The following is a 15,585-nucleotide window of genomic DNA, read 5'->3' as shown; positions in this document are numbered from 1 at the left end:
GGGAAAAATTAGTGTTAATTTGTATTTAATGTCGAATATAATTGTAGTTCTAAGTCCCACTTTTAATGCTAGACACTTTGTTTGTTTGTTTGTTTATATGTGAGAGGAGGAATTCTTTTTCACTGGAGTACTGTTTTGTATCAAATTTAAAATATAGGAAGTCTGGGGATTAAATATTCCTCCTAGAAGTCATCTCAGGGTTTTAAGAAGTTAAATAGGGGCAGATTTAAAAGTTGACTCTAAAAGAAAGGAGTGTGTAACGGAGGAGGAGAAGGGAGATCTTGAAGGAATGAGAGGGGCAAAACTGTTTTTGAAGCCAAAGAGCCCTTTTGAGTAAATACAAAAGAGGTTAATAGCCACTGTTAATATATTGTTTTAAGAATCTGTAGAACCTGTGAACACATTTAAGAAGTGCAAATTAGAATACAAAAAAGGAACTTATGAAAACTGAATCTATAGAAAATTCGGAGGGCTTTCCACTTCCTCTTAGGTCTCTCCCTGTGTCTGCACCCCCCTAAGGATTCTACAGCATAAAGCATTGCTACTTATAGACTCTTTCTGTGTTGGATCTATTTTTCTGATATTAAGTACAATACTAGCCAGACACAGTCTGGATCTACAAAGCCCAAAGTCCTCCCACTACACAGCACAGACACCAGGGAACCTGGAAGTTCCACCCTGGAGTGGATTAGTCCTGGAAATCCAGACTAGCACTTGGTATTATCTGATACCAAGTCTGGGGTGAGCCTCAGCCCCTGGCACAGAGTCCCAGCAATTCCCCAGTCTGAGCTCCGGCCTGCTAAGGTTTCCCAGCTCCTTCTGTTCAGTTAGACACCCATGGGACTGTTCAGAACCGAATTAGCTTTGGAGATGGGTTAGCCTTTAACCTGACACTACTAACCTAAGCCTTAGGTTTCTGATTTAAAATTCTACACAGCCATTTCCTCCTGGGCCTCTGAAGTAAGTGTGTGTGTTTGTGTCTGTGTTTGCTTTGTTATATGGGCCTTATACATATACAGAAAAAGATGGCCTATACTGTAGGGTTGAATGGCGATCTTACTGTCTATAAATCAAAAGAAGTCCTGTATTAACTTCTGCAGGTGACCCTAAGCAAAGAGTATTAAACCTACACTATTTTTGAGGGGTGGTTTTAAAAATTATTACACGAGATACAGCCTTTATTTCTTGGCCTAGAGCAGTAATTATCATTTTGGGATTTAAATATGATTCTACTGTTGTTGATGGCTCTTTTACAAAAGTTCTTTCCATTAACAAGGTCCAATACTATATTTAAAAAAATGTCCAAGAGGCCCTTTGAGCTATATCACCTGCTTGTCTTTAGCAGAATCCTGAACTGGATAACTTTAAAAAGTTTGTCAGCCTAAGAAAATGGAAGAGTGGGTAACTGTGTGGCTAACTGATGCTGTGACCGTTACCACGCATGGGACTGGGCACTTTATGAACGGTTTTACATTTGGAATCACAAACTGAAGAGGGAAAGGATGAGGAAGGGTGTTCTCTTGTTTTTTTGTTTTTTTTTTTTTCACCATTGGTGATCACTTATTTCTTCATTAGCTTCAGCTTACACATAAATATATACAAGTTTAGATCCTATTATATTTACCATTGGAAATTTACCTGATGCCTATTCCCGAGGGGGAACACAAAGGAAAAGTTAATAAAGCAGTTGTTTTGTTATTCCAGTATTTTCATTGTTTACTCAGTTGTGGGTCAAGACCAGATCAGGTTATTGTGTTCTTCATTAACAAAACTTTTTAAAATTCTTTCTTGCTTTCTAGTAAAATTAGGAAGCAAAATGACTGAAAAGCAACGGGATTTCTTATTTTTATCATTTTACCAGTCTTTTTATGTCTAATGAAAGAGAAAGAAAGATTGAACTCTTTTCTCTTATTTACTTTTATTAATTTTTGCAGTGACTGGGCAGTACCTCCTGACTAACTGTGGCAGGGACCACGTGAGAAAAAATTTGAGTCTCAAGTAGCAAAATATTTCACTGATCCTGTCATCCAGAGCTAATGATTCCAAGGTACCCAGAAGCAGTCTAGATTGATGCTGGATAATAATGCCTATCTGTTCTCTAAAAAGAACATCCCTGTATTCCTATACAGTAAGTAGGGTATCACTGAGCTTTCCTGTTAAAATAGGAAAGATAACTCAAAATCACATTCCTTCTCATGCTTCAAAATAGTTTCTAATAAAAACATTGATTTTTAATTTACCTGCATGCTGCCATCTCACTCTGGGGATGACACAGCTGGTGTGAGTTGACAAGTCTTGCTGCACAAAGTGTTAATAAATCATGCTGGAGAGGTATAAATTGGACAGCTTTCGGCCAGTGTTAGAGCTTGCTGTGCATTTGAGATTTTAGAGTCTGAATGGCCTCTATTAGGAGAGTTCGAAGGGAAATGTAGAAAATCTCTGTCTTGTGAGGCTTGTAAAATCAGATGGACAAAGACTATGGGCACACCTAAGGGAAAGTGTGTTGGTGGAGTGACGATGCAGGCTTCTCCTGAGGTCAGAAGTTGGTTTAAAATACAAGCTGAGCGCGGTGGCTCACGCCTGTAATCCCAACACTTTGGGAGGCCGAGGCGGGTGGATCACGAGGTCAGGAGATCGAGACCATCCTGGCTAACATGGTGAAACCCCGTCTCTACTAAAAACACAAAAAATTAGCAGGGCGTGGTGGCGGGCGCCTGAGGTCCCAGCTACTCGGCAGGCTGAGGCAGGAGAATGGCGCGAACCCGGGAGGCGGAGTTTGCAGTGAGCCGAGATTGTGCCACTACACTCCAGCCTGTTCGACAGAGCGAGACTCCGTCTCAAAAAAAAAAAAAAAAATACAAGGAGTTCTATTAATGTCAACATGTTCTTGTAGAAAAGGCTGGATTGGAAATGTATGGTGCCTGGCTGGGTTGGTAAACTAGTTTACTTAAGTAATCCCAGTAGTTTGCGTTCGGATTCTGTCTGGACAAGTTAGTTTCACAAAAGAGAAAAACTCTCATCCACTGTTATTAACCCTGGTCACTTATAAGCAAATTGGTATCTTTGGACTTAAAGATGACAAGGTGTCTCAGACCGTTGGCTGCTATAACAAAATATCTTAAACTGGGTATTTTATAAACAGTAGAAATGTATTGCCTACAGTTCTGGAAGTTGGGAAGTCCAAGATCAAGGTGCCAGCAGATTCAGTGTTTGCTGAGGGCTCAATCTCTGCTTCAATGATGGTACCTTTTTGCTGTGTCTTTATATAGTGGAAGGGGCACACAAGCTCCCTAGGGCCCCTTTTATAAACGCACTAATTCCTTTCTTGAGAGGTCTACCCTCACGATCTAGTCACCTCCCAAAGGCCCCATCTCTAATACTATCACATTGGGGATTAAGTTTCAACATGAATTTGGGGGGGACACCAACATTCAGACTGCAGCACAAGGTGTGAGAGAGGGAAATGATGGTGGAGCCCACATTGCTATACCTGTTTCTATGGCTGGTCAACAGTGCCATCTGTGAAAGCTGAAGGCAGTGTATTTCTGAGATTAGGTTAATATATCCTTTGTCCCCTTTTGAAGTTGCCATGTCTTCCTCCATTCTTCATTTTTAAATATCCACTGTAGTATTAGGACAGGACAAGGAAAAACAAACAGAGTAGGCTGGAGCTAATCTCTCCATTCTGAGTGATGTATTGGTAATTTTGTATAATTTAATCAGACTGATCACAGAACAAGATAATCAGAGTATGACCTACAGAATAGGGCTTTAGGGGGCGTTAAGGATTTCCAGCATAAGGTTTTACAAGAACATGAGCTTTGTGGCGAAGGCATAGATTTTAGGTTTTCTCTTATTGGAAAAAAATCCAGGCCAGGCCTAGTTATGGTAGGATGTGAGCTTTTTTTCATCAGATTTCATAACTATATTGGCTTAGTTAATGTACTCTTAGAACCACATTTTAAAGGTATAGATTGTAAATGATGGTGCCTGTTTCTGAGATACACTTTTCTGTCTCCTGCTTTGCCAGGTGTAGCTCAGTAATTCATTCCATCTAGGGCTAAGTGTACAACACTTTATAGTTCATGGTAGCTAAAATGTCTTCTATCATATTTTATAAGAGAATAATGTGTGAAGCACAGACCTTAGAAATAGCTAAGAGTACTTGATGGGCTGACATTTCTGGCTGCTTTCTCCCTTCTGTTTGGGAGTAAGTTTTTTGTATTTCTGTCCTCTCTCTGTAAGTTATTTTTTATGATATTGGAGAATAGTGTGTGACTAGGTGCTGAGGCAGGGGCCTCTCTGATGACTCCTGTCATTCCCCAGGGACCCACCTTGGGCTAGAATTGTTGTAGTTACAAAGTAGTTTCATAAATTAAAATCAGACTTTGGCTTGATACTAATCTTAAATGGCATGGGTACATGTTGCTGTTTATTTTTTAAAAGTTAGCTTCACTGCATGTACACACATGCGCGCGCACACACACACACACGCACACACACAGAGAGGCTGCACTGTAGCTAATTTTATAAAATGCACAGTGATACGCGCCCACGATCTGAGGTCAGAATGTGGCCTTTAGCAACTCTGCTTTCACAGTCTGACCTAGGGTTATACTAAATGCAGCAAATTCAGTGTGCCTAAAAAGGATATTGTTTCCGACTGTCCATTCCCTTCTTATAAAAAACAGCTTTTACTACTGAAGTTCTGTCTCTGGAGTTCTTAAGTGACCAGGGTTTAGATACACTTTGCTTCTGTTTTTAAGAAAATCCTAATTCAACCAAGTTTCTCTACCAGCAAGGAAGAAATGCATGGACCTTCTTGGAGGCCAGGGCCTGAAAAAGCAAACCCTAAAATAACCTGTCTCTCTATCTCTTTCTCTTTGGTCATTTCTACATGGGTCGGAAAAGTGGTTAGACCCCATTAGAATTGTGATGTGAAGGGAAAAAGAAAAGGGGTGAGAGAGAGATGTGGATCTCAGGGTGAAATGTTTTGAGTGTGCTGAAGAAGCTGGCCTTCAAAGGAGACTGAAGAAGGCCAGGAAAAAATGATCTTTTACATGATTGATCAGTAGCACTCTGCTTATCTGAGCTTTTGAAACAAGCTACTGTGCTTGTGGAGGGTGATAGATGTTTCTAAGGTTACATAGTGCTAGTATCTTAGGTGGTCTGGTGCTGTATTTTAAAAAGCTTTTGTTGTTGTTTTGTAATGAGAGGGAGAAAGTATCATCTGTGACTGTGCCCTCTTTAACTTTGTCTACTGTGTATGGCACAACTAAAGTAGAAACAGGATTCATGTGCTTTCAAAGTTCGTAGGGCAGCAGTCAAACGTACAAACTCTGGGGCCAGGCTGTTCAGAGCCCAGCTTTGCCACTGACTAGCTGTGTGACCTTGGGCAAATTGCTTATCTTCCCTGTCCTCCACTTTACTCATCTTTAAATAGTGGTAATAGTTTCTGTATCACAGAGCTATTAGAAGGAATAATTGAATACATATACAAATGTAAATATTATACATATACACAAAATCATGCCTAATTAGTGCCTGCTGCATAGAAAGGACTTAATAAATATTACTTATTATTAAGTATGTGAAAGGTGTTTCAGTTTGTTTAGATTGTGAATAGATTACAGGTATTTCTGACCTGGAACTTTTTGGTGGTTTCTATGGTTTTTTTTTCTCAATATATCTCATTAGTGTGGTGAGTAATAATAATATGATATGGTAAAATTCTTTTACAAGGCTATTATTGTAGGGCTTGACTAATACTTGTTTCATAGGCCAACAATATTATATTAGGCTTTTACTACAGGAATGAGTTTCTCTGTTTATATGATTTGACCTGAATTATATCTAAGTTGTGTAATAATCATATGCATTATAACCAGATTTTACTATAAAGTGAGGATACTAAATCCTCCTTTAGACACTTAGAGTGAGACTCAAATTAGAGAATAGGTATTCCATAAATATTTATTTATTCTTCTGTTCAACAGGCAGCCCACTGGTTAGAGTAACACAGACGAAATTTATATTAGGTGTTCCATATGTTACATAGGTAATAGTTTATTTACACAGAAAGAAGGAAAGGCAGGGTCTGCTGTTTCTAATCACAGAGAACCAAATCAAGAGAATACATGCAATGAATCTTAAATGAAGGATGGGGTTGTGTATATGTGAGCACAGTGGGAAAGAGAGATCATATCGTAGGTTACAAGCTGGTGCCATAGTAATGTGTTTTGCCCCACACAGATACTGTTTAAAAACTTGAGACAACATTTTGGAAATCGGAGGTTTCATATAAAAATCCAAATTTCCAGCTTCCTTTGAAAACTTGGAAGAGTCACTCGCACTGGGCCCACCTCCCCACATGGCAGCAATCTGCTGTAGTCGGTGGCGGCTGTCTCCATTCCCCAGGCATGTGCTCGTCAGTCTGCCACAGTTCCTGCCACTCGGCCACCATGTCCCCATATGCATATACACCTGCCCACCTCCCTCAGGTATCTTACCTCCTGATCCCTGTAGGCGTTTGGATTAGAAACTGTTCTGCATTCCCCAGCATTCTTTGATCTTTCCATTCATCACTGACTCTCAGGTGTTGTATAGCACATTTGATGGCAGTATCAAGAAGCCGTATAGTAATCCCTATCCTAGCAGCACCACATTGCAGCCGTGACACAAGCGAGTTACTGCAGTTATCTGCCTGTTTTTCTCATTTGTGAAGTGGGAGACCATTGTAGGTTCTCTGAGACTAAGTCAGCCTATACACGTAGATATTTTAGATTTGTGTCTGGCATAGGGTATGTGCACAGTAAATGCTGGCCATATTAACACACTTGAGGTGTGAATTCATGTCAACTGAGGATTGCTTGAACTGTATTATGTAATTAGTCAAGGAAAACTATTGCTGTCCGTCAGTTTCTGATCACCATCAGCCAACCCAGTGGTTCTCAACCAGATGTATTAGAATCACCTGGGAGATTTTTAAAAAATACAAACACCCCCAGAGATTTAAGTTGAATTGACCCAGAGTGGAGCTTGAGCATGAACGTTTTTTAAAAGCTCCCTGGGTGATGTGATTCATTTGCTTAATCCCGAGTTGAGGACCCCTGAACTAACCAGAACTCCCACTCTGGGATGTTATCATTTCAGTCAAAAATAAAGACAGGAGATGGTGAGCCTGGTCAGCTTATTGATGGTATTTTTTCAGGCTCTTAAAACCCTAAAATTAGCTCGTGGACCTGGGTAATGGACTGCAACTCCTCGAGGTTGGAAACCAGAGAGACTGATGGAAGGAATCTACAGTAGGCAGGAGACACAGACTGCAGTCTTCTCCCTTAAACTCTCCCATCACCAAGGTTTTTCACTGGCTTTGTGACCTTGGGCAAGTCACTTAACCATCTCTGTGCTTAAGTAGCTCCATCATGTAAAACGGAAAACAGTACATTACTCAAACCTTCTGTTTGTATTATGCTTTATTCTTCATGAAGCACTTTATCATCTGCCTGTGAGGTGGGCAGGGAAGGGCTGCTTCTCCCACTGATTGGACAGAAGTGGACACAGACCCAGAGAAAGGAAGAAATTAGCTTGTAGTCACCAGTGTCAGCACTACCAAGGGCTGGACCATTTGATGGTCTCTTGAGACACAGTGCAGCTGTAGGTCTGTGAAATCTACATGGGATCTCACAGCCTGAAGGAGATGGTTTTGGCCACTATAAATTGCTTAGAGCCTCTCCACTACAGGAGAACCCCTTAGGTGTTGATGGAACGTGATGGCCCCATGATTCATGAAAACCTCTGCTGCCAATAGTATTTCCCTCCTCAAAGACTTAAGATCTGAGTTCATCTCAGTCTTATCAAATCAAATGTATCTTCCTTCTAACTTCTACCCTATTGGTCCTACTCTCTGTTTTCTGATCAGCACTTCATAAGTTTATGAAAATACTTTTCAAGCTGAATTTTAATTATTTGTTTCCATCTCTTTCTCTGCTCACTTGTCTCTGAGCTCCTTGAGAGCAGGGACTAAGCAGAGAATAGTAGAACGGAGTCACATGCAGTGACACTGTCTGAGGCCTGAATTATGTGCTCCATATGGAGAGCACTGCCTTTGCGTAATGGCCTAGAATTAGGCGGCGTTTTCTAATCTGCACTTGTTTGGCCGTACTTGTTAACCCAACAGTCCTCTCTAGAGCATGAAACACAGCTGTATTTGGGAGGAAACAAAGTGTGGGAGACCCTACGCTCCAGGAAACGTTACTGAAATGTGCTATATGATTTCTCCCTTCTAGAGGAAGGCAAACTTCAAATAATAACTTACTGGGTTTTAATCTGACCTTAAGAAAGTGAGAAATCAAATTACAGTGAGCTGCTTTGTGACATTTATAGAAAGAGAGAAATTTCACAATCCAGAAGTAGGGTTTGGGTTGGCTACTAGATCGTAGTTAGAAGTGCTGTGCACAAATGGCTACTCACATACTTGTTGATAGGTGAAAAAATATGTGCAGAAGAAGAGAAAAAGTATGAGAAGCTTAAACATGACTTGGGCGTACTCCATAAGGCTGAAACCATAGAAAACACAAATATTAACTATTAATTTATTTTTAAAAATTGATATTGGCTTTTAATGACAAAAGTAGTATATGCTTAGTATAAATAATTAAACTCATGCGATAATGCTTAAGTATGAAAGTCCCCTCATCCCAACTTCCACCCCCAGAGATAACCACTGTTAATCAACAATTAATATTTAAAACTTGGCCTTTATTTGAAAAATTGGTACATTTCAGCATAGTTGGCTAAAAGAATTTAAGTATGGAATTCAGAACAAGGGTGGCAACATCACTCTTACAAACTGATTCAACCCATCTATAGTATTGAATCCCAGATTGGTTGCACTGATTTAAAGGGAGAAATTGATAAACTGCTCACAAGAAGGGAGGCAACTAGAATGTTGTAGGCTCTTGAAATCATCATATGAGAAATTAGTTATTGAGGCAATTGGGAATACTTAAGAGTGGGGGTGGATAAAAATTGTGCATGATCACTACATTCAAATATATGAAGTTCTTTCAAGTGAAAAAGGGAGTAAATTGTTATTCATCCTAAATTCTCAGCTTGTGTGTGATAACCGATACTTCATTTGTTCATTCATTCATTCATTTCACCAGCACTAATTGAGCAAAGTGTGTCAGGGATTGGGAATTTGTGGAACCGAATAGAGCATGGTCCCTGCTCTCAAGGAGCTCAGAGACAAGTGAGCAGAGAAAGAGATGGAAACAAATAATTAAAATTCAGCTTGAAAAGTATTTTCATAAACTTATGAAGTGCTAATCAGAAAACAGAGAGTAGGACCAATAGGATAGAAGTTAGAAGGAATATACATTTGATTTTATAAGACTTGTTGAATAAATAAAACTAACCAAAAATGAAACAGCAGATGTTGTGTTTATGAAGAAGCTGGTTCAACCACCCGTTGGGGGTGATTTTCTAAGGACTTCAAGTAATGTGGGGTGAGATGAGAAGCGTTGAACTCTAAAATTGTTTAATACTTCAGGAAACAATTCTCTAAAGTACTGCTTTGCTTGGTTTCTATTTAAAGTTGGAAATCTGTTCCCATAGCAGGGGAACACGTCTTTCACTATACTGAATTGAGAGCCTTTTGGGAGTAGAGGTGTGTGGCGACTTGGTGTCATGTTAGAGCAGTGACAATTTGATTGGCTAAGAGTTGTAACCCCCACTTGGTGCTCATTCATTAAGGAAAACTTTTGAGCATTTACCTGGCTCACAGAAGTTCTGTAGGATGCAACCTCTGCTGATAGTTCTTTCAAATGTTGACACGAAATAATCACAGAGGATAAGTCAAATCAATATGATAACAAGTGCAAGACCATATACTATCAGTTAGATGGGTAAATGTTTGAGGAATCACAGAGCAAGTGTGATGGGTAAAAGATTCTCAAAGAGGAATGACATATAAAGCATCCTCAAGGAAGTGATGGACTTAGATCCTGAGCAGAGAGGAGAGAACATTCCAAGAAGAAGAAATGTCATTAGCTGATATGGTTTTCCTGTGTCCCCACCCAAATCTCATCTTGAATTGTAGCTTGCATAATTCCCACATGTCATGGCAGGGATCTAGTGCGAGGTAATTGAATCATGCGGATGGGTCTTTCCTGTGGTGTTCTCGTGATAGTGAATAGTCTCATGAGATCTGATGGTTTTATAAAGGGGAGTTCCCCTGCACACACTCTCTTGCCTGCTGCCATGTAAGATGTGACTTTGCTCCTCCTTTGCCTTCCACTGTGATTGTGAGGCCTCCCCAGCCATTTGGAACTGTGAGTCAATTAAACCTCTTTCCTTCATAAATTACCCAGTCTCGGGTATGTCTTTATTAGCAGTGTGTGTAACAGACTAATACATTAACCAAAACAGGGCAAAATAAACCAAAAGTTCATTTATGTGAGAGACACTAAGATAAGGGACTTCATTGAACCAGAGGGGCCATATTAGTAATGTAAAGATAAGAAGTAGGAAAAATATGGAAGGGGTTGGCCCAGATAAGAGATTATGATTGCTAAATTTAGTGGTTTGATTACATCTCAAAAATCAACTGTGAGGTGTGGTAGTTTCTTTTACAGTGATAAAAATGGAGGTGGAGGGTGATGGCCTAAATGAAGAAGTGGCCTTTTCAAGTAGGCAGAGCTGTTGAAAAACCAAACTCAGGTGGATGGCGGTGGATGTGACCCCTGAAGGGGCTGTTGGGAGAGCCCTGCCTCAAACCAGCTTCTCAGGGCCAGTGCTGCAGACACTCAGCCAGGGCTTGCCCTCCCCTCTTACCCCTCCCTTACCTCTTTGGTTCCTCAATAATCAGCAAGGAGTGTTCTAATGCTGTGTCTCCCTTTGAAGGTGATATAATATGTGCTCTTAAAAAAAATAGTATATCTAACATCTATACATATATAATGAAAAGCATAGTGACAACAAACATCTGTAAACCTACCGCCCAGTTTAACTAGTTTTAATGCTATTGAACTTGTTTGTGTATTCTTCTCCTGCTCCCTGTCTCCTAAGAGTTACCCTAAATTCTCTGTTTATTGTTTTTCTTGTTTTTTCTCTGGACTTTACCACATTGCTTAGTTTTGCTTGTCTTTGAGATGTGTAACAGTGTTAGTGTACAGTGTGTGTTCTGCACCTTGGTGTTTCATTCAATGGTTACCTTTCTGGGATTTATCCATGTTGATGCATGTAGCTCTGGCACATTCATTTTCACTGCTCTCCAGTATTTCACTGTAGAAACATACCACAATGGATGTTTGCTTTTGTTTCCACTTTTTTTGCTGTTTTGAACAGCACTGCCGTGAACATGCATGTACATATCAGTTTAGCCTGAGTGTGAATTTCTCTAAGACACTGGTTCTCAAACATTTTGGTTTTAGGACCTTTTTACCAGGACCCCTAAACTCCAAAAACCTTTTGTGCGTATGCATTGTATCTATTTATCTATATCATGGTAGAGATTAAAACTGGCAAATTAAATATGTTATTAAAAATACTGATTCTAACCCATTACATGTTAACTATAAATAGCATATTTTAATAAAAATATATTTTCCAAAAGAGATTTAGTGAGAAGAGTAGCATTATTTTATATTTTTGCAAATCTCTAATGCCTGAGTTAACAGAAGACAACGAGAGTCTCCTATCTGCTACGGCATTCAGTCTTTTTTTTTGAGATGGAGTCTCCCTCTGTTGCCCAGGCTGGAGTGCAGTGGTGCAGCCTCTGCCTCCTGGGTTCAAGCGGTTCTCCTGCCTCAGCCTCCCAAGTAGCTGGGATTACAGGTGCCTGCCACTGGGCCTGGCTAATTTTTTTTTTTTTTTTTTTACATTTGTAATAGAGATGGGTTCTCACCACGTTGGCCAGGCTGGTCTCAAACTCCTGGCCTCAGGTGATCCGCCTGCCTCGGCATCCCAAAGTGCTGGTATTACAGGCATGAGCCTCCGCACCTGGCCTGCATTCAATCTGTGACATGTTTTGGATGGCATATCTGAAGAAAATCTGACTTCACACCAATATGTAATAGTCTTTTCAGATAATTGTGAATATTCATTGATATTACACCAAGACTCAAAAAGAGATAGCTTCTTAAAGATTAGTTGCAATGATTAATCAAAACATTTCAATAAACTTTTCATATTTTGAAGCATTAAAATCTACTGGTCTCTCTTGTGCTTTGAATGGATCAATGTGCATAGAACATCTTGTGTTGGACATTTGGAAAATATTGGTTCACTGAGTTATGTAGATCTACCAAATGTTGACACATTTTGTTATAAAATATAAAAAAAATATTAATATCAACACTGATGTTATCTGAAAGGTGTTTAAGGACCGTATTGGGAAGCTGTCAAATTCACAGTGTAAGATACATGTTTTCCAAAATTTTAATTCTTGTTTGAAAGCTTGAATTTTATTGTTGGCAACAAACACTGTCAGTTTTTCCTTGAAGTATCAGTCTTACTTTTCATTTCCAATGAAGAGTCTGCCAAATACCGATACTTGAATGACCATAGTCAGTTATCCTTTCAATTAAAAGTGATGTTCAAGGAAAAATTGGCTAGTTCGGCTCTTAACTCAGTCACACATGTCCTTTTCCTTGAGACAGCCACCGTACTTTGGTGATAGCAGAAGTGCTTTATGCATGTATTTCATTACATGTGTTATTAAAAAGATGTTTACTCAAGGGTCAGTCTTCAATGAAAATAATTTTTACTGCTTCATCAAAGACATTCTTAAGTGAAACTGGCAGGGCTTTTCTCCTTGGTTTTGTTTTTGTGTTTGTGTGTTAGTTTTCTAAATATGTGCAGCAGTGAAGAATGAAATCATTACCAGTATGATTTATTGCTGTTGCTGTGATTCAAGCTAAGGTCCCAATAGTTTTACCCGTCATTGCTTTTGTATCATCATTACAGATGTCAATGGAGTAATAAGGGCAAATGATAGCTTAGTATTATTATAAAAACAGTTTTGATCTTGAGGATCCCTGAAAGGGTCTCAGAGACACATAGGGGTCCACACACCACACTTTGAGAACCACTACTCTAAGTTGTCTACATAGTAATGGAAATGCCACATCTTGGTGCATGTGCGTCTTCAGCTTTACTAGGTAATGCTATAATGTAGCACTTTGAATATTTTCACCAAAGACCCCAAAAGGCAAAGAATCCTGAAGATGGGGAATCCTAAACTCACAACGGTTCTCACAGCTTCTGTGAGATTTCCTTGATGTATCTTTGAATTATCTTACAATGTGCATTATACTGTATATCTGTTGGTTTAGACTAAAAGTAATGTTTTCAATAACTCATCAGTCAAATTACCTTTGTTTCTTGTAAATATGTATGTATCAGTTTTGGTCTGTGAAGATGCTCCATATTTATCCTGGTACCTGTTATGATTTCCTGGAACCCCTGTTGGAGGAGAACTCCAGTGAGTGCCTTGGTCCAGCATGATTTATCTTGGAGACTGCATGGTAGCAAAGAAGAGATGACTAAGATTTCCAGTCTTGGGGAATTAGGAGTATTTCTGGTCTTCGTGTCTTCTTTTTCTGGGTTGCTGTCCTCATTGTCCATGAACCCACTCATCTGAGACAGAAACCTGAGTGTAATCCAAATGCCACCCCCTTCCTTTTCCTCCCCTCATTGAATTTCTTCCCCACCCAGTTTTGTTGGTTCTGCTTCCCAAATATCTCTAGAATAAATCATGCCCACCCCCTGCCACTGCTTTGGTTTACACTCATATTTTTTCTCAAAGAGAATTGAAATGGTTGCCAGCTGACCTCTTTTTTTTTTTTTTTTTTTTTTTGCCTGAGTCTCACCTCTCCCCTCCCCAACCCCTGCCTCTGTAATCCAGTCTCCACACTGCCACCATGGCAGACTTTCTAAAACACTCATGTAATCCAGATAATCCTATTTAAGATCTTTTAGGCATTTTCTAAAAGGATAAAGTCTGGACTTCTAGACTTTGCCAAGAAGCAAATCTAGAAGATGCTTTGTCATCTAAGCCCCTTTCCTCTGCCATGTTGTATACTCCTTGTTTTATTCGTACTGAACTATCTGTTCTGCAAATCATACTTATACCTCCTTTTCTTGGCGTATTCTTTTCTCTGTTTCTGAAATATCTTCAACTCATTTATGTGCCTGATAACCTCCTACTTAGCCTGCAACACTCAGTTCTCTGAGAAGCCTTTCCTGCTTCCCCTCCTGCATTGTCCCACATGCTGGGTAGAATTAGGCGTCTCCTCCCCTGGTTCCCATAGCTCTATCATAATAACTTTGTGTGCATAGTATACTTCCTTACTAGTCGATGTTCTTATTGACTGTGAGCTTTTAAAGGGCATGGACTTTCTTATTCATTTTTGTACATTCTTGCACATAACAGTAACTGATTATAGTAGGTGGTCAATAAATAGTGCTGAATAAATGAATGAAGGGAGAAGTAAAGAGCTGGTCACAGAATCCAAGAAATAGGAGATGTTCTATTAATATTGTTGAATGAAGAAATGAATGAAATTAAGAAGGGGGGAATCCCATAGGTGTTTCATAAACACTGCTGAATGAATAAACAAAGAAGTTAAGACTGGGTCACAGAACCAAAGGGTTTTAGAGGTGGAAAGGACTTTAGAGACCATCTCCTGCTGTCTTCCTCTTTCAAAAATGAGAAAACGATTTGCCTAAATTGTCCCGGGCTGGGTATAGGAGGCGATGAACAGTACCCTGGACATTCGCGTGAATGTAGCCTGGAGATGACTGGAGGGAGTCACATGCTTCTCCTCCCTTCCTGAGGAGACTTGCCCAGAAGAGCAGAGGCCGTGGCGTATGCTGCAGGGGATACCACCGTCTAAGTGCAAGAGAGAACTTTTGTGGTTGGAAGTCTGTGGCACATTCCAGACTGTGGAGTCTCCCCTCAGCTATTGGCTGTTGCTCTCTTTCTGTCCTCAAACTGTGCCAAGACCGTCAGATTTTCCTGATGACTGGGCATATTCTGCATCTGGATTCCATGGTCATAACAACCAGAAGTTTCCTGTCTTCTTTGGTTGGGGTGATTATGATATAGAGCTGGGTAACAATATCAACAGTTCTGAGGTAAGCCGTCCTCTTTAAAACATAATGTTTTCTCATTTGAGATTTCTAGGTGCCTGGGAAAAAGGGAAAGCTATTATTCACTAAGCGTCAACTCTGTGCCAGGTGCTTTACTTATGTAATGCTAATTTACCTTTACATAGCCCTGTACAATTGCAGATATTAGTATCTTATACTCTAAACAGGAGAAGGTGCTTGTAGACTTCAGGTGGGCCTAGTGTATAGCAGGATAAGATTCGAGTGGGAGTGTCTGGTTCCAAAGCTTGTGCCCTTTCTATTTTGCCATGCTGTTTCATGCTGTATAAATAGATTTTCTGCTATACAAAACTTATTGTGGCCCTATTTCACCAATATTAGTGAATTGTTGGAGTTGATTATATTTATTTACTTAAAAGGAGGAGAATCTACAGGTTTCTGGTTTAATGTTATCCATGCTTTGCAGTTTAC

General features: G+C 39.8%; 1 protein-coding gene across 14 annotated transcripts in view, besides 1 other annotated feature; it reads left to right on the top strand.

The window, feature by feature from the left end:
* The window catches only part of ZNF827 (zinc finger protein 827), a 181,197-nt gene that overhangs the window by 3,492 nt on the left and 162,120 nt on the right, over positions 1–15,585 (top strand). The window contains exon 1 of one of the 14 annotated variants that reach the window (XM_047449636.1): positions 13,863–15,141. The exons of the other annotated variants lie outside the window; for them this stretch is intronic. The gene's annotated coding sequence lies outside the window, so the exon portion shown is untranslated. Of the gene's footprint in view, positions 1–13,862; positions 15,142–15,585 lie in introns of those variants that run through there. 14 annotated transcript variants of the gene reach the window in all.
* Positions 2,712–3,213: an enhancer, noted in NCBI's record as "H3K4me1 hESC enhancer chr4:146853271-146853772 (GRCh37/hg19 assembly coordinates)". NCBI's record gives its function as "activates a minimal SCP1, AML or CMV promoter by ChIP-STARR-seq in primed H9 embryonic stem cells {active_cell/tissue: H9 hESC(primed)}" and the evidence as "EXISTENCE:reporter gene assay evidence [ECO:0000049][PMID:30033119]".

This window comes from Homo sapiens, chromosome 4 (genome assembly GCF_000001405.40).
Source record: "Homo sapiens chromosome 4, GRCh38.p14 Primary Assembly".
In the NCBI taxonomy this organism is placed as follows: Eukaryota; Metazoa; Chordata; class Mammalia; order Primates; family Hominidae; genus Homo; species Homo sapiens.
The sequence above is the reverse complement of the archived record's forward strand: the minus strand, read 5'-3'. Positions and strand labels throughout refer to the sequence as shown.